Source organism: Homo sapiens, chromosome 13, assembly GCF_000001405.40.
Source record: "Homo sapiens chromosome 13, GRCh38.p14 Primary Assembly".
NCBI classification, from domain to species: domain Eukaryota; kingdom Metazoa; phylum Chordata; class Mammalia; order Primates; family Hominidae; genus Homo; species Homo sapiens.
In genome coordinates, this window is record NC_000013.11 from 112,196,135 (window position 1) to 112,214,172 (window position 18,038).

Consider the following 18,038-nt stretch of genomic DNA (forward strand, 5'->3'; position numbering starts at 1 on the left):
TCCTTCCTTTTTTCCTTCCTCCCTCCCTCCCTCCATCCCTTCCTTCTTTCCCTCTTTCCTCCCTCCCTCCCTCTTTCCCTACCTTCCTTCCTTCTTTCTTTACTTTTCTTCCCTCCTTTCTTTCTTCCTTCCTTGTCTCCCTCTCTCCCTCTCTCCCTCTCTTCCCTGCCTTCCTCTCTCTCTTCATTCCTTCCTCCTCCCTCCCTTACGCCCTCTCTCCCTCCCTCCCTCCCTCCTCCCTGCTCCTGCCTCCTCAGCACCCTGTTTCCCGGTTCCCTGGTCCCCTGGTTCCCTGGTCCCCTGGTTCCCTGGTTTCCTGGGTCCCTGTTTTCCTGGTTCCCTGTTTTCCTGGTTCCCTGGTTTCCTGGTTCCCTGGTTCCCTGGGTCCCCTGGTTTCCTGGTTCCCCTGGTTTCCTGGTTCCCCTGGTTCCCCTGGTTCCCTGGTGCCCTGGTTTCCTGGTTCCCCTGGTTCTCTGGTTCCCTGATACCCTGGTGCCCTGGTTCTCTGGTGCCCTGGTTCCCTGTTGCCCTGGTTTCCTGGTTCCCCTAGTTCTCTGGTTCCCTGGTTTCCTGTTTCACTGTTTCCTGGTTCCCTGGTTTCCTGGTTCCCTGGTTCCCCTGGTTCCCTGGTTCCCTGGTTTCCTGTTTCACTGTTTCCTGGTTCCCTGGTTTCCTGGTTCCCTGGTTCCCCTAGTTCTCTGGTTCCCTGGTTTCCTGTTTCACTGTTTCCTGGTTCCCTGGTTTCCTGGTTCCCTGGTTCCCCTGGTTCCCTGGTGCCCTGGTTCCCTGGTTCCCTGGTGCCCTGGTTTCCTGGTTCCCCTGGTTCTCTGGTTCCCTGATACCCTGGTGCCCTGGTTCTCTGGTGCCCTGGTTCCCTGTTGCCCTGGTTTCCTGGTTCCCCTAGTTCTCTGGTTCCCTGGTTTCCTGTTTCACTGTTTCCTGGTTCCCTGGTTCCCTGGTTTCCTGGTTCCCCTGGTTCCCTGTTTCCCTGGTTCCCTGGTTCCCTGGTTCCCTGGTTCCCTGGTTTCCTGGTTCCCCTGGTTCTCTGGTTCCCTGATACCCTGGTGCCCTTGTTCTCTGGTGCCCTGGTTCCCTGTTGCCCTGGTTTCCTGGTTCCCCTAGTTCTCTGGTTCCCTGGTTTCCTGTTTCACTGTTTCCTGGTTCCCTGGTTTCCTGGTTCCCTGGTTCCCTGGTCCCCTGGTTCCCTGGTGCCCTGGTTCCTGTTCCCACGGCTGCCGCATCTATTATGCCCGCGCCCCTCCTGTTCCATGAAGGTAATGGGTGCTCCTCCTCTCTTGATCTTTCTTTGCTCTTCTCTTCCAAAAAAAGTGGGGGGTGCATATTAAACAAACACTCATCACAGTCTTCATTATTTTGGCAAGGAAAACAAATGGAAATCAAGTCATCTTTTTCCTGTCAGGGTGCTGATGAAGGAAACGTCAATAAACCGAACAACGTACTGTGTGACTGCCTGGCTTGAGATCTTCGAGTACAATAAAATAAAATAAAATAAAATAAAATCCTAACAGGGAGAAGAGTTTCATCATGTTCTGTTTCAAACTCCAGGCTACACTTTCTTGATGCTACCCAGTCCTCACCTGACTAACACGAGCTGAATAAGAATGGACATTGGCATGCTCAGGATCTAGAGGCAAGATCCCAGCAGCCCGATGCCCTCAGCCCCAGCCCCAGCCCCAGCCCCAACTCCCTCATGTCATGCAGCCACACACAGCCCCACACAGCCCCACCGCCTTGACTACAGGCATGGTCAAGGCACGAATGGTTGATCTCAAATATCTCCAGGCATTGTTACTCACCGAGAGAGCTTGGACACTCACGTGCAAAGTCAGAGACAGAGAGAAAGACAAAGGGGTAGGGGGAGATGCTTTTGAAAGAGCATTCAAGGATGTTCTGAGGAAGACATCCAAGCATGCAAGTGGCCTGTTAGCTCTGATGTGACCTATACACTTGCTTCAGCAGGAATCCACACAGGTCCAAGCATCAAGTGACCTGTTAGCCCTACTGTGAACTAGTACACTTGTTTTACCAGAAGTCACACAGGATCCTTAAAGCATCCTCATTCTTTCTCCGTACAGGTTCTGGATGGAGGTCTCATGAGGGATTCGGGCAGAGGCTGATGAAAACATAAAACAGGCCAGTCTCCAGATTCAAGGGAGAGCTGGAGACAGCATTCATAGCTTGACCAGGCAGCTTTGACCAGGTGTGACAAAGGAAGCCCAGATGTCCCAGTCTATTCATGTTTCTATCACAAAATGCCTTTGAATTAGTAATTTATAAACAATAGAAATTTATTTCTTATCGTTCTGGAGGCCGGAAAGTCCACGATGAAGACACCAGCTGGTTCCCAGCCGGTGGGTGAGGACCCAGCCTCTGCTTCCAAGATGGCACCTCTGGGCTGCATCCTCACGTAGGGAGGGGGTGGGAGAAGAAAAGGGGCTGGGCATGCCCTTCAGCCTCCATTATAAGGCACGGATCCTGTTCACGAGGGAGGAGCCCGCATCACTCAGCCTCCTCTCAGAAGGCCCCACCTGTTAACATCACACGGGGCTTAGGTTTCACTGTACGTATTTGAGAGGCACCTACATTCAGACTATAGCACAGGCCAGCCCCCCACTGCTTCCCATACTGCCAGAGGCTGGGGCAGCTCCCCGGCCACCATGTTCCGCCAGCAGGATGGCTCCTGTCAGCCAGGTGTGCGGGACCTGGGCACACTGGCAAGAAGCAGGGAGGGCAGCCCAGACCCAGCCGCCCCATGGCTGCTCCGGGAGACTGTGTCCCTGTTGGAGACTGTGATAGATCCACGATCCGTCCCAGCCATTGCTCCATCTGTCTTGTCCATCAACCCCTCTGCCAGTATCATATGGTAAATAGTACCATGAATACTACAGTTCCAGGCACCCAGGTCACATCAGAGAACTGACGAGTTAGAGTTTAACGACACAGTTTGTAGCTGGGGGGGCTGCTTCAGAGCTGATGACTGGGTGGCATTGCTGCCTGGAGCTGGTGACTGGGTGGCATTGCTGTCTGGAGCTGGTGACTGGGTGGCATTGCTGTCTGGAGCTGATGACTGGGTGGCATTGCTGCCTGGAGCTGGTGACTGGGTGGCATTGCTGCCTGGAGCTGGTGACTAGGGTGGCATTGCTGCCTGGAGCTGGTGACTGGGTGGCATTGCTGTCTGGAGCTGGTGACTGGGTGGCATTGCTGCCTGGAGCTGGTGACTGGGTGGCATTGCTGTCTGGAGCTGGTGACTGGGTGGCATTGCTGTCTGGAGCTGGTGACTGGGTGGCATTGCTGTCTGGAGCTGGTGACTGGGTGGCATTGCTGCCTGGAGCTGGTGACTAGGGTGGCATTGCTGCCTGGAGCTGGTGACTAGGGTGGCATTGCTGCCTGGAGCTGGTGACTAGGGTGGCATTGCTGCCTGGAGCTGGTGACTAGGGTGGCATTGCTGTCTGGAGCTGGTGACTAGGGTGGCATTGCTGTCTGGAGCTGGTGACTAGGGTGGCATTGCTGTCTGCAGCTGGTGACTGGGCGGCATTGCTGCTTGGTTGTTGTCAAGCCTCCCCAAGGTCTAAGGTCACCAGCAGGAATGCCCCGGAAGGAGAGGGCATAACTGTAGTTCTAGGAGTCTGAGGCCGTTTAACCTTTTCTCCATCATTTAGCAGCTTAGAAATTCATGTCATTCCCCATCTAGGCCTCAATTTCTCTACCTGTAAAATGGGATGTTTGACCCGACTTCCCTTTACCTGTGAAATCCTAGGACCTCATCATGTCACTTTCATGCAGCAGAGGCAGCGACCACTGGAGAGGGACACTAAGGACTGCTCCTGGATCTTGTTTAAACACAAGGAGCTGGGTTTCGAAGACTCCACGAGGGACTTTAGGACCCTACGTTACTTATCGACATAAAAAGAGGAGAAGATAAAGCCTCACAATTCTTCCTCCCACTTCCTCAGGTGGCCAATGCTGCTTTTATTGTGGAATGGGTTTGCCACAAAGCCTCAGGCTGATAGATAAGACTCGGGTCTCTGAAAAATGACAGCTTGACATCAAACCAACAAAATCAATTTCCAAATTGATTAAAACCATTCTCAAATAAAACTCCGCTGGCTTTTTCGAATCCCATTGTAAAAGGTCATCTGGGAAGTAAGCACCATATTTGTTTTAAGTTAGCAGAAGCCCGCAGCGCACTTGAGGCCCTACAGTTTCGGGGCCAGGCTGGGCTGACTGGGCCCACACACGCCTCCGCCCTCACCACAGCCGCCAGCTCCAGGGTGCCCACCAGAGCCAGGGCGGGAAGCCACCTCCAGGCTGGCCCTTCGTCTTGGCTCTTTGAAAACCTTTGGGTGAGGTGTGTCTCTTGGATCAAATAAACAATCAACAATTGGCTGCTGTCATTAAGGGAGAGGGTTAGTGCTGAGGGAGACATATCCTGGGGGCATTTTGTGTGATTATGGGGTGATTTATGATTCATAGAGATCAAGCGATAAACGTACTGAAATGCCAAGAAAGAAAATTGGAGAGAAAAATTGCTACAAATGTTATTCTTATTTTTTAAGGAGATTTATTTTATTTGCAAGATTTGTAATTGATGCAAAGCCTGTAAATGCAGGTGCCCCACTGTCAAATCCTCTCCCTTCCAGACCCTTCGTAAAGGCGTGACCTGCTTCAAGAAACACGATATTTGAAAATATGAAATCTACACATCGAGACACATTAAGAGTGACTGTTCGCATGACAAAAGGGTTTGCCACTTTACAAAAGATTCATCCCAGTGTTTCTTAAAGAACCATACAACTGTGATGTATTTTAAATGTCTTTCAATTAAAAGAATTGACTCATGCTCAATTTTGCTTCAACATTATTTCAACTTTATTTCACCTTAAATATCATACAATAAAAACTTATTGTACTGATTTTTATCCCGGGGGAATGTGTCTTCCCCTAGGTTTGATGGAGGAGTCTGGCTCTGAAGGTTGCACAGCAGAAAACCAGCTCTCATTCTATTCTGCCATTAACTGGTAGCAGTGAGCACGGTCCCTTGGGCCTCAGTTTCCCCATCTGTAAAACAGGGACAAGCTACTTGCCCACTAAGCCTATGTTTCAAAATGATCATGGGTTTAAAAACACAGAAAACAAAGGCGCCCAGTGCTTACCAACATGAGGTGTTAATATTCTGTCCCCTGGCCACATCTTAAACAGCCCACCAACCCAGGATGGCTGCTGGACCAGTCCCGGGCAGCGTTATTAAGCGCCTCCAGCTACCTTCAGGCTGTTTCCCTCCTTGTCCATTTCCGACTTCAAGGCCTTCATGCCGGGTCCCGTTTCATCCTCCCTCTGAAACGAGGTTAACAGGAAAGGATCCAGTGCCTGTCCGTTCACCTCATGCCACCCAATGTCCATTGATGCCAGGACACCAGGTACTGAGCTCTTCCCACAGCCTGCCCAGGCTTCCACTGGCAATCGGGTCCCACTGTGCAGATGAACAAACAAATCCCCCATCTCAGGGACTGCCCACAGTCACACAGCCGGGAACACACAAGGGGCCTTTAAAGTTAGTCTCCTCTGCTGACTCCCATGCTCTGCCCGCAAGTGAAAGGCCTTCTCCACCATCACCGCACCGAGGGGGAAACAGAGGCCATCCCGGGGCAGTTGGCCACCCCACAGCCTGTGTGCACATTGGAAGCTGGGCCTGTCATTTGTTTGGGCCCACGAGAGGGACACGGGGCAAGGGAGATGATCTCCCCACTGGAGACCTGTGGCATCATTCAGGCCCTTCTCTGCCCTCTCAGCCAAGGCAGGGTGGCACCAAGTTCTTCACCTCTGAGGGGTGAACTGGCACAGACACCTCTGCAAGCCAGAGCCCTTCCTCCCAGGTCTGCAGTGGCCAGCACCCCTCTCATTTGGTGGTTGGGTCACAAATGTTCTTCCTAAGAATCTCTGCCACCAATGAAGTGTCCCGGACAGCCGCCGTGAAAGAGACCCAGGGCAGGCTTCTGGGGAGGGGCTGCCCCAAAGGGACCATGAGTCCCTGAGGGTCTTGGTGGATGAGCTCAGCTGCAGATGCCAGGCCAGGGGAGCGTGAGCCAGTGCTCAGGAGCTCTGGATGCTTCTAAGAAGGGGCGTCTGTGCAGAGATGCGTTTCTTTGCGTCGGCATGAAGGGGAAAGGGCAAGCGGAGACCACCGTGGTGTGCCATGCTCCAGTGTCCAGAGGACCGTCACATTGCTCAAATCCGCAGCCAGGTGGCACCTCCGCAAGCTGGGCGTGTGATGCGGTGGCGTCTTAGTGACAGTTGGCTTGGCTCCTGGAGGGGACACTGAAGGGTGAAGTGGGGGCTTGTCCAGATTGCTGCCCCTCGCCCACCCAGCACGTCCATCTCCATTCCCCCATCCCACCTGGCACAGGGAAAGCTGAGCTGCTGGAAACACACTGTCCTCAAAGCTCCCTGGCCTCAGCAGCATTAGCCTGGGTCTCGGGCGGTCCTCGAGACTCTGAACTGCGAAGGGACGCAGAGGCAGGGCTTCCACTCACAGGCTGGCTGTCCACTGGCCGCCACTCACACGGGACACGCGGACCACAGGGGTGCCTTTGATCTTCACTCCGCAGCTCCCACATCTGAGTCCTGGGCACTCACCCCTAAAAATCCTCCTCTCTAAGCAACCAGCGAGGATTCCATGGATGACAAAGGGGTGGGGCGGTGTGGAGAAGGTACCACCTCCCACAGCCTCCACTGCAGGCGGGAGCTTTGCTGCAGCACAAAGGACCCGAGGGGCCTGCCCTGCTGGAGCCGGGCCCACCTGACCCCAAGGACCCCGTGGCAGAGCCGGGTGTGGGGGTCGCCATTCATCCTAGAGCTTCCGTCCCAAATATCTCTGCTCAACTTTTTCCTTAGCTTCCCTGCTGACCAAGCATCCCTAACACATGCCTGTGTATCCACACCAAAAAGCCCACTGTGTGCCTAATGTCGCTTCACGAAGGCTGTGGGGCCTTCCAGAAGAAATGGAAGTAGCTATGCAGGCTGAGCAGGAGTGGGCTCCCATGGAAGGGATCGCAGAGAGGCCTCTGGGAACGGAATGGGTGAAGATCCACGCACTTGAGAGAAATCACTGCCAGCAGGAAGAGCAAGTGGGTCCCTCCTGCTGGCCTCCTTGTCCAGTCCTTTCTGCCAAGAAGACAGGAAGCACAATGCTTGTCCTCTGTCGTTTTATCAGCAGTGTCCCCAACGTGAGGACGTAGCAGGCAGAAAACAGGGGCTTTGTGCAGTGAAGTCCTGAGGCTCAGGGGAGCCGCGATGTACTGGGGAAGTGCCTGCCAGGGCTGTGCAGCTGCTCTGAAAACTCAGCAAATTCGGAGTCAGTGATGGACAAACGCCCCCGTGAGCAACAGAGCTGTCAGGCCCTGAGCACACTTTCCTTAGGGGACCATGCCCCCGGGCAGCACCCACGAGCTGCTGAACACACCACACCAAAGACTGGGATTCCGCACAGCCCCGCGGGGCATGCCAAGGGCAAGTCCAAATCTACGTGTGAGTGAGGGGACCTCCACCCTGCCCTGGGTTAAACTAACAGCTAAAACACACACAAACACAGACACATGTACATAAGCACACGCACACATATGCACATGCATACATGCACACAAGCACATGTACATATATACAAACACACATGTGTGCCCATACATACAACATGCATGTGCATGCATAACACAAGCACACACACATACACATGTGCACACACATATATGCACAAGCACAAACACGCATGCATGCAATCACATGTGCCCCATAAGGCAACATATATGTGCATGCACAACACACACACACACATAAGTGCACACCTGCATATGCACAGCACACACATGGGCATGCACTAGTGCACACATACACATGCATGCACAAATGGGCACACATGTGTGCACACACAAACACACATGAACACACTATGCCCTGTGGCTTCCTTTTACAAATGTTGCTGCACTGGGAGACCACCTTCTTCAACTTCCTTTAAAACACCACCCAGAAATACTAAGAAAATCCCCCTCACAGAAGGTGATGGCCCTATTGATTAAAATAAAATTCGATGGAATTATTTTGGAGACATGTCCTTCATCAGTTAAAACGTATGTTAAATTCATTTGATGGTTTCAGAACAGACATTAGGAGTCGCTGGGGAAGCCCTGTTACAAATGAAATCTCTCAAAAGCCACATGTGGCTCCTTCCCTGTGTACTGCTCTTCCTCCTGTCGACACGGCACACGCACACACACAACTAACACACGCACACACGTGCACGCTGTCAGATGTTGCAGTGCGCACTCCATTTCCACATTCGTGCTTTGTAAGGTCTTCCTTTCTGCTTGGCTGTGGCGAGGCTCAGATGCGCAGCTGGCCTCCAAGCTGTGGGTGAGCTGTCCAAAGCCCCGTGCCCTCCAGGAGCTGGAGCTGCCGTTTTGCATCATTTTTTTCTGTTTCCACCGGTTCTTCCTCTCTCCTTCTCTAACCACACAATGTGTAAATACCCCCGGACCGTGCATTGCCTGTTTATTATGCTGCCTCTGAAACACAGATCCCATTATGTGGGGAGAAATGAAAGGAGAACCTGCACGGATCTATTTTTAGCAGGTGGTTGGAATACTATGAATTTTAGGGTGTTTTGCCTCCCTGCCGCTCCTTAGCCCCTTCAATCTTGTCAGCTGTAAAATGGGTCTCTGTTTAACCCCTCATGGATCCTCATGGAGATGAAAGGTGCGCTCATGAATTACTGGTGCTGACAGCCCAGCAAGGCCTCGCCGCAGGGGGTCCCCTTTGTTCCGTCCACTCTGACCTCCCGCGCCCTGTCTGTCTGTGGGAACCGGACCAGAAGAATGTGGGGAGGAGTCAGGAGCACAGAAGCGGCAGGCCCGCTCCTGGCCAGGGAGAGCTGCCATTCTTCTGCTGCAAATATTCTGACCTCATCTGGGGCACACCTCCACCCTGATGCGATCCATCGGTGACCTCCTTTGTGCTTTGCAAACCGAGACAATAGGTTCTGCTCCAGAATCGTCCACACAAGGGCAGGAAGGGTGCTTTTCCTGAGCGCAGAAGTGTGTTTCATTTTCTTGTGTGTGTGGGAAGAAAGTGGCTATGCGCTGAACCCTGCTCTGAGGAGGGGAAATCAGAGCTGGAAGTCCGGCGGGAAGCAAGTCTTCACAATGCACAAAGATCATTTCAGGTTAAAGCCAAATCATAGTTGAGAAGTGACCTGTTGTTTCAAAGGAATGAGGCACCAAGCCTTCCAGCGGGAGTAGAGATTCGTTCAGCAGTCGCATCTGATTTGCAATAAAGAAAGTTCAAGGAAGTATTAAAAGCCATGAATGAACCATCTGTCCAACCTGAGAAAGTGCACCCGCAGAGGGAAGAGGGTCTCTCTCATCCTCTAAGCACCTTGAGGCCGCCCTCACCATCCCCCGAGGAAGTGCCGGAACACACAAGCTCATCAAGTTTCCTAGAATAATGAAAAGCGTTTCCGAAAATAACCTGAGGAAAACAACATTTGGTAACACTGAAGTTTGGAAAAGAGAAACTGCAACACAGTGTGAATTTATTTCGTGAAGTTTCTACTTCATAAGAACACATGTTTTAAGTTCAAATAACTAATTCGTGTGTTTGTGTTCATTTATTTGGAATACTAATTTAAAAAAATCCTTGTCAAGGCAGAACAGTACCAATGACAATCCCCAAATTAATAAATAAATAGGAGCTTCAGATGATTTAATACAGAGCTTTCAGACAACAAAAGGTCACTCTCTGTTGTGAGAGCAAAATGTCCTTTTCTCCCCTTAAAATAAAAAGGTGTTTTAAAAAATTAACTATAAGTCACTTTACTTTAAAAATAAGAATGCAGCCATGGCCCTGGGTTCCTCAGGAGAATAATCATGTCCCCCGTGTCTGTGGGACAGATAATGGGTGATCGACATGCACTCTGCACCAGGAGTGGTTAGAAGATCCGCCGAGCTTCCTTACTGAAAGTGGCTGCTGCGGGCAAGTTCTGTTTCCGCCGAGCACTCTTTGTGTTGCCAATAAACAGCATAATTCTAGTCTGCTTACAGGTACAATTTAGAGAGAAATTGAGTGACGAAAGGCGAGGTGATTTCTTCCAGATGCCTGCTGGCGGAGCAGGACGCACCTGACAGATTCCCGGTTCACACTTTTATTTTGTATGAGAAAAAAGCAGGTTTTAATAAAATTTCTGTGTGTAAATAGTTTTAAAACTAAAACCACTATTCCCACCCATAGTCTATGTTCTTGTTCCAAACGCTCTTCTGCTACAATGGCAGTTTTGAAGGCTTTGTTCTATTACTTATAATTTGTCACAAAAAGCACAAGGCAGTGAGCTTAGTTTTGCGTAGGAGAAAGGCAATTATCTCGCATATTTTCCGGAAAACCTCTAAAATAATCTTTAAAAGTTTATGCCTTGTTTTATGAAACTTAAAATACAGAGTACAGGAGTGTATTATTCTCTAACAAAACTCATTTTTGGAAGGTTTTGCAAATATATCATCATGAACAGTTTTCCTTTTTAAAAAAAGATTCAGGAATTGTATTCATCCACATTAAATTTTCTTGTACTTCTTCAAACTCAGGAGAAGTTGCAAACATTATTTTTTTTATCAATGCTACTTCTATTGCAGGAGGTAATTTCTTAGGTTTACTGTTAAAGAGACTAGAAATACTGAATGAAACCGAAAAATGCACCCTTAACATTTTGCTACTGAAGCTTCTTGTTGGTTTTTTTTACTGGTTGTCTTTCTCAACATAATCTCAGAATTTCAGTGTTCAGAGCTGCTATCTATACACGGGAAAACAAGTTTTAAAATTCAGGGACAGAGAAAAATAGAAAAATAAAGATAAACAATAGAATTAGACAAACTAGACGTTTCTTTCATTGATGATGCAGGTTTTCTTCCTTTTTTATTTTTTATTTTTTTATTATACTTTAAGTTCTAGGGTACGAGGCCAGGGAGAAGGAGAAGCCACCCTGAGGAAGGTGCGGAATGTCGCGTGGAGCCCGGCTCTCTGCCTTTGAAGCAGGATTTTCATGCACTCGCCAGCATGGCTGGCTTTTCAGACTGGCCAGATTTAACTCGGGACCGTTGTATAGAGGATCAGGTTTGAGCCTGCCTTCCAAAGAAAGCAGAAGTCTCCAGAAACAAAGCCTCCCAGATCCAGCTTACAGGCTGATGGCTGTGAAGGAAGAATTTGAAGGGCAATTAAGTGTGCTGTGAAACATAGCAAGAAAGGCATTAATTCCTCACTCTCTTGCTCGTTAATCTACTTTTGTGCTGACTTTTCACTAGTACAGTTGGGGTGCCCTTGTCCACAGCGGCGTTTCTAGAGGGCTTCTAGGCATCATCCCCACAGATTTTCTAAGCGTCATATTTAGGTAGATGATATCATTTCAGAGCCTTTGATATCTTTGGGGATTTTTTTATTCAAATGAACTGAAGTGTTAGTTTTAAGGGCTTTTTCCATGCTGAAAATGCCTCTGTTTTTGGGTACCCACCCAACTTCCCCAGAAAGTCATCCAAATAAAGTGAGACCCCATGGAAAGTAGGGAGGAAATGAGAGGGGGTGCGGGGTAGCGGTCAGAGAAGAGGAGGCTACGCACAGCACGGAAAGGGAAGGCAGCAGCCACATGGACCTGGGCCCACGGCTGGGCCCTGAAGCCTGCAGACCGTCGTCTCTTCCCCTTTCACTTTCTGGGTTTCATTTCACGTCCAGCAGATGGTGTGAAATTCCGGGTCATCGTAAATGGACAAAGAATATTTTTAAATACTCCAAGGAAAGCCATGGTTATGTTATTTTTTTCAGTGTTATTGGTCACCCTTTCTGGGAAGAATTCTCACTATAAACGTGTAAGTCTCACCGACACCGACAGCCCTGCGTGCCAATTCAGAGGTTCTTGTCTGGCGCCCTCACCCAAAGAAATGTTACACTCTGCAGCTTAATTCCCATCCCAGCTTCGCCGACCACCTCCCGGTGGCGTCTCCATCTGTAACTTCCTTTCCCAGGCTGGACTGCGTCCCTCTAAAATCCACAGTTGAAGTCCGAGCCCAGGCAGCTCAGAATGAGGCTTCACAGTTCTTCCCTGGCACTCGAAGGAGACTGGTCCAAGGAACCCCTCAGGTGTAAACCCATGGATGCCCAAGGCCCTTGTATAGAATGGCATGGTTTTCCATATAACCTGTGCGCCTCCTCCTGTGTGCTTTAAATCAGCTCTGGAATACTTACAGTACCTAATACAGTGTACATGATGTGTCAATAGTTGTTGCTTTGTGTTAATTTTTTATCTGTATTATTTTTATTGTTGTTAGTATGTTCGATCTGCAGCTGGTTGAATCCATAAATGCAGAACCTGGGGATAAGGCGGGAAGTGTATTTGGGCATAGGATTGCTGCAGAGGTGATTCATGGAGATGCGGTCATAGTGGAGTAGGATGGGCCCTAATTCAATATAACTGGTGAATTCATACAAAGAGGAAATTGGACACAGAGGAGAAAACCATGTGATGTGGGAGGCAGAGGTTGCAGGGGTGCAGCTACGAGCCAGGGACCACCAGGGACAGCAGGCAGCTCCAGGAGCTGGGAGAGGCTGGGGTGGACACTTGGAGGCCCCACAGGAGCTGGGAGCTGGGGGAGGCTGGGGCAGACCCTCGGAGGAGCTGGGAGCTGGGGTAGGCTGGGGCAGACCCTCGGAGGAGCTGGGAGCTGGGAGAGACTGGGACAGACCCTCGGAGGCCCCACAGGAGCGGGTCGTGCCCACACCCTGGTCTTGCACTTGGGGGACCTCCGGAGCTGGGAGAGAATCAAACGCTGCTGTGGAAGTCACTCAGTTTGTTGTTACAGCACCTCCTACATCTCCTTAATTTATTTAAATTTAGGCTCTGCTTCCTCTCCTCTAAAATGTGGTGGTTACTCACTATGGTTCCCCCTAATATAGAACATGGTGTAGGAGATCCAGTTTTGATATCATAAGCATTTACCTTTGGGTAAATTTCAGGGTCCAGAGTGCATATGGGTCGCGGGGGCGCAGGGCAGACAGACCCTAAAGTGGGGCTTTTAATGACTGCAAATTAGGGGCAGATTACACAGAAATGTCTAGAATAAGAATGGTAACTTGGGAGTGGTCCTGGTGTTGCCGTGGCGATGGTAAACTGACACGGGATGGGTGGGCACGTCCCGTGGAGAGGTGCTCTTGCCTCTTCCCTATTTCAGCCAGACCTCAGTCCAGTCCAGAGTCCGGGTCCCCACCTCTGGGGTCGAGTCCGGCCTCCTGCCTCTCCAAGGCCTGGCATTGCCACCTTCCACGGGCTCCCGGGGGCATCCCCTGTCTCGACTGTGCATGAGAATGGATGGCTCTGAGTGAGGGAGCCCATGGCAGCTTCTCCTTTCTTGTTTTAACTGAGCCAGTTGCTGAATGATGTACCCAGGAGGCCCTGGTCTGAGAACACAGGGACGCACTAAGCTGGCTCCAAAGAACGGCACGGGGAGAAGCAGTATCGGTGGGAAGACCCCAGAGCCGGGGCCCCTGCAGCGTCTGGAAGATGACTAAGAGGGAGCGTTGGAGATGAAGGAGACCTAGTGGGGTTCCTGTGGAAGGCAGGCAGGGTGCAGGTGGGGTGCAGGCAGGGGGCAGGCAGGGTGCAGGCAGGGGGCAGGCGGGGTGTGGGTGGGGTGCAGGTGAGGTGCAGGCAGGGGGCAGGTGAGGTGCAGGCGGGGTGCAGGCAGGGGCAGTTGGGATACAGTCAGGGGGCAGGCGGGGGACAGGCGGAGTGCAGGCAGTGGGCAGGCAGGGGGCAGGCGGGGTGCAGGCAGGGGGCAGGCAGGGTGCAGGCAGGGGGCAGGTGGGGTGCAGGCATGGGGCAGGTGGGGTGCAGGCAGGGGGCAGGCGGGGTGCAGGCAGGGGGCAGGTGGGGTGCAGGCAGGGGGCAGGCGGGGTGCAGGCAGGGGGCAGGTGGGGTGCAGGCAGGGGGCAGGCGGGGTGCAGGCAGGGGGCAGGTGGGGTGCAGGCATGGGGCAGATGGGGTGCAGGCAGTAGGCAGGTGGGGTGCAGGCAGGGGGCAGGTGGGGTGCAGGCAGGGGGTGGTTAGGGTGCAGTCAGGGGCAGGCGGGGAGCAGTTGGGGTGCAGTCAGGGGGCAGGCGGGGTGCTGATATCACCGGGAATGGTGGAGGCAGAGGAGGCCCAGGAGACATCTCAGACATCGAGGGTGGAGTCCTTGCTAAACTGACTTTGCAGGGATTTTTGGCAAAACTGGATTTTACAAGGAAGCGCACGGATGGCCTAGGAGAAGGTCTAGGAGCCTGGCCACTGCTTACTCATGCAGAGACAGTCAGGGCCACGCCTCGATGAGTTCTCCAGCTGGGCTTGACATTGTGCTAAATTCCTAGCAGTGCCACGGCTGGTGATTAGTTACTTGATAAGGAAGAAAGTGATGCTACTAGCTCGGTTCCTGTTGCTTACAGTGGGTGATCTGGGCAGGTTCTTGGGCGCCTGAGGTGGGCAGTGGTGGGCGTGAGCCTGTGGGGTTGAGTGCAGGGACCCCCAGTGTACACAGAGGCACCACGCAGACAGCACGCCTGGGCATGGGTGTGAGGCAGAGATATTTACGCCGTGTGAGAGTCTAGAGTCAGAAACGCTGGTTGAAATAAAAGCCTTGCATCCCAGACCAGCACTCGGACAGGATGACCCTCAACAAGTGTCTTTAATGTTTATTACAGAAAAAGCAGGCGTGACCAAAAGTAGAGAGAAAAGTACAAAAAAATTCACGCATACTCATCACCCAGCGTCATAATTACCATCTTATAGCCGCCTCCTTCGACTCTACTCCTACCTAATTCTGCTCCAAAGCCTCCTGTGTTATTTTAATAAAATCTCACACAGTATTGTTTCATCCATCAACGTTATGGTACGCATCTCTAAAAGTAAAACACTCATTCACACACACACACAGAGAACCTCGGAGATGTAGTACCTACACTACCACCAACAATATGATCACTTAAAGACACTGTTTAAGATTCTGTTGCAGTTCTTTTTGTCCTTAGAATGTATCCCAGTAGGGATGCCACAGTTAAATTACTGACTGTTAAAGTCACTGGAAAAGGCCTTCTCTCTGTGTGTGGTGGTGACTAACTCAATACATACACATGCTCATCTGTTTCATTTTGCTTTTGATTTTTAGGACTTTTAAAACTTAATCATGTTTGATAATTATGCACAATCTTTACATAGTTCCAAGGTCAAATAATGGATTTGGTTTTTGATTTAAGGAGGCGCGGCTGGGCTCGCAGGCTGTGTCCCTGCTGGCCTGAGAATGAGTGGGGCCTCCGGAAACCTCGCCCCTTCCCAGCACTGTCTACACAGCAGGGTGTTCTGAGAGAAGTCCAGCCTCTGCTTTCGACCTCTCTACCCTATTTCCACCACCCCCTGTAAGTAATCACCTTGAAATTCTACGTTATGGTTTAATTCTTTCACTGGGTTTTTAGTATAAAACAAATATATCTGCATTGGTCTGCGTAGCTGCCTCCCCTCTCGTGTAAATGGCAGCAGATTGGGCATCCTCCGCTGTGTCCAATGTGTGAATAAATACAGCATCTTCACACATCCCCTCCTGATGGATATGAGGGTGGTTTACAGGTGTGGGTTCTTTGTTTTGGCTTTTTGTTCTGCTTTTAGTGTTTTGCTGTTACAGATAGTGTGACAAATAAGCCATGCCTATGGCACTTTTATTTTTGCCAGTCTATCTTCGAAACAGATTCTTAGAAACAGGGCATGGGATTTTCCAAGAACCTGCCTCATTCACTCCACAGTGGTTGTGCCATTTCGCCATAAGCAATGTGTGAGCAAACAGAATATGTTTCATGTGTTTAAATTTGTATCTGATAGATGAAAAATGAGATCTTGGTATGGTTTCATCAAATATTTGTTAAATAAATGTTCATTAAACGTTTCCAAAGAATGGAACAGGGTCTCCAGGCTGCTGAGCAATGGTCTAGTCTAGAGGCCAGAAGTCAAATTGAACTTGCACAAAAAAGGGAAGTTTAATATACACGATGGCTACTTGAATCAATGAATGAGTGAATGCTTCAGTGACTGAATGGGTGTTGCAACAAAAATCAGTGAGGGCCACGGTGTGTTGGCTGCAGATCCAATGAGCCGGCATTCACTCTCAGAGTCTGGGAGGGCCCGGGGAATGCCATCAGCACTATGGCCCAGGCAGACCACCTGTGCACACCACTGCGCTCCAGCCCTCTTCTTCTTTAAGCTCTATTTTATTTTTAATTGACACATAATCATTGTACTTATTTATGGGGTACAGTGTGATGCTTCAATCCATGCAAACGTTGTGTAATGATCAGTCAGGATAATTAGCTTATGCATCATCTCAAACATTTATTATATCTTTGTGGCGTGAATATCCAAAATCCTCTCTTCTAGTTATTTTGAAACGTACAACACAATATTATTAACTATAGTCACCCTACCATGCAACAGATGAATGAACAAAAAACATGTGGTCTGTATACCCAGTGGAATACTATTCAGCCATAAAAAAGGATGAAATCCTATTTTTTTGCAACATAGATATAACTGGTGGACATTGAGTTAAGTGACACAATCCCCCTTTTTAATCATGATTTTCAGTTGCATTTCTATAATGGTTAACGGACAGCTAATTCGTGCCAGTCACTGGGGATCTACCTGCTCTGACTTTTGAATTAATAGGAAGTTTTCTGAAAATCATTCTTTTTATATTGAGCTGATTAGAGGAGTCTTGGTTTAAAAAACTTAAGGGAATGGTGTGAGGCTTTGACTATATTTGCCCCCCTATTTGCTTTAGGGAAAGGAACCTGGATTAGGTGGGTCCTTGGGAAATTTTCATACCTGAGATTCCAATTTGACAGGTGCCGGTGATTAGGCAGCGGTTTCCTTGTTAGAAGCAACTTTGAAGGACGGACACTGGATCCTGAAACGTTTTCCCCTGTGGCTGCACGACTCACCTCCCACAGCACCTGCAGCCATGTCCACCTGGCACCTGCTCCATTCCAGGGTGGGAGCAGGGCAGCAGGAGGTCAAGTCTGAGAATCACTTTACCCAGCAACACATCTTTAGCCAGGGGAGAAATGCAGAGAAAACAGCCGGTCAGGTCCATGACCATTCGCAGGTGAATGTCTGTAGCTTTGAGTGCTCCCTGGCACGGAGGCACCCTCAACACCAGCCAGCGACCTCTTTCACAGCACCACACTCATGTGGATTCAGGGGAAACAGAAGGTGCTGTTATTTTGCTGCTTGAGAAGGGCTGACGTTTTCCTTCCAATCATTAGCCCTTCCTGGATAGCACAAGGGAAATGTGCCCACACATCCCTCAACAGCAGTGTGCGATGTGTGTAAATATAATAGCATTAACTGGAATTTGATCTCAAATGAATGACGCCATCAAGGTTGACATAAGGCGCTCCTGCCTCATGTCAGTCACTGCCCCCTGCAGGTGTGGGGCACCTGCCAACAATGACCTCAGTCCTGCCGGGCCCTGCGGCTGCCACCACCCACTGTGTCTGATGGGAATGTCCTAGACGGAGCCTCCCTCATGGCACATCATCCATTGCCTCGCCCCACATGTGCCACAGACTGCATTCGGCCCCAAAGACCACAGAGCAGGACGAAAGACCGCCGCTCCTGCCTTCCTTGCCTGGCCACAGCCAGCCAGGGGCTTCAGGGCCACTGCGATGGCGGGGCTGGGTTCCATCAGGCTCTCCTCGCAGGCCCTGCCATTGCTTTCTCCATGCCTCCTTTCCCCGTGCAGACGAGGGCGAGGTGGGGTCCAGGCTCATGCCCTGCGTGCGCCCACACTGTCACATTCTGGATGCAACCTCCGCACTTCCGCGGGGTATTTCTGAGCTCCCATGAAAAGATGGGCACAGGTGTGCCTTCCTTAGCTCCACAGGGAGATGGGCCCATGGGCTCACGGACTCAGTGG

The 18,038-nt window shown here is 50.6% G+C and overlaps 2 long non-coding RNA genes across 2 annotated transcripts, besides 5 other annotated features; one reads left to right on the plus strand and one right to left on the minus strand.

The window, feature by feature from the left end:
* Positions 1-1,198: 1,198 nt before the first annotated feature.
* On the plus strand, positions 1,199-4,866 carry LINC01070 (long intergenic non-protein coding RNA 1070). Its single transcript, NR_108094.1, has 3 exons — positions 1,199-1,274; positions 2,097-2,221; positions 3,779-4,866. It is a non-coding gene; the product is annotated as a long intergenic non-protein coding RNA 1070 (long non-coding RNA).
* Positions 3,325-3,824: an enhancer, noted in NCBI's record as "H3K4me1 hESC enhancer chr13:112853773-112854272 (GRCh37/hg19 assembly coordinates)". NCBI's record gives its function as "activates a minimal SCP1, AML or CMV promoter by ChIP-STARR-seq in primed H9 embryonic stem cells {active_cell/tissue: H9 hESC(primed)}" and the evidence as "EXISTENCE:reporter gene assay evidence [ECO:0000049][PMID:30033119]".
* Positions 6,247-7,040: an enhancer, noted in NCBI's record as "H3K4me1 hESC enhancer chr13:112856695-112857488 (GRCh37/hg19 assembly coordinates)". NCBI's record gives its function as "activates a minimal SCP1, AML or CMV promoter by ChIP-STARR-seq in primed H9 embryonic stem cells {active_cell/tissue: H9 hESC(primed)}" and the evidence as "EXISTENCE:reporter gene assay evidence [ECO:0000049][PMID:30033119]".
* Positions 7,041-7,832: an enhancer, noted in NCBI's record as "H3K4me1 hESC enhancer chr13:112857489-112858280 (GRCh37/hg19 assembly coordinates)". NCBI's record gives its function as "activates a minimal SCP1, AML or CMV promoter by ChIP-STARR-seq in naive and primed H9 embryonic stem cells {active_cell/tissue: H9 hESC(naive and primed)}" and the evidence as "EXISTENCE:reporter gene assay evidence [ECO:0000049][PMID:30033119]".
* Positions 8,627-9,418: an enhancer, noted in NCBI's record as "H3K4me1 hESC enhancer chr13:112859075-112859866 (GRCh37/hg19 assembly coordinates)". NCBI's record gives its function as "activates a minimal SCP1, AML or CMV promoter by ChIP-STARR-seq in naive H9 embryonic stem cells {active_cell/tissue: H9 hESC(naive)}" and the evidence as "EXISTENCE:reporter gene assay evidence [ECO:0000049][PMID:30033119]".
* On the minus strand, positions 10,941-17,428 carry LOC124903249 (uncharacterized). The gene is made up of 2 exons (XR_007063943.1): positions 16,946-17,428; positions 10,941-11,244 (listed from the first exon to the last, which is right to left on the minus strand). It is a non-coding gene; the product is annotated as an uncharacterized LOC124903249 (long non-coding RNA).
* Positions 14,958-15,849: an enhancer, noted in NCBI's record as "H3K4me1 hESC enhancer chr13:112865406-112866297 (GRCh37/hg19 assembly coordinates)". NCBI's record gives its function as "activates a minimal SCP1, AML or CMV promoter by ChIP-STARR-seq in naive H9 embryonic stem cells {active_cell/tissue: H9 hESC(naive)}" and the evidence as "EXISTENCE:reporter gene assay evidence [ECO:0000049][PMID:30033119]".
* Positions 17,429-18,038: the final 610 nt, after the last annotated feature.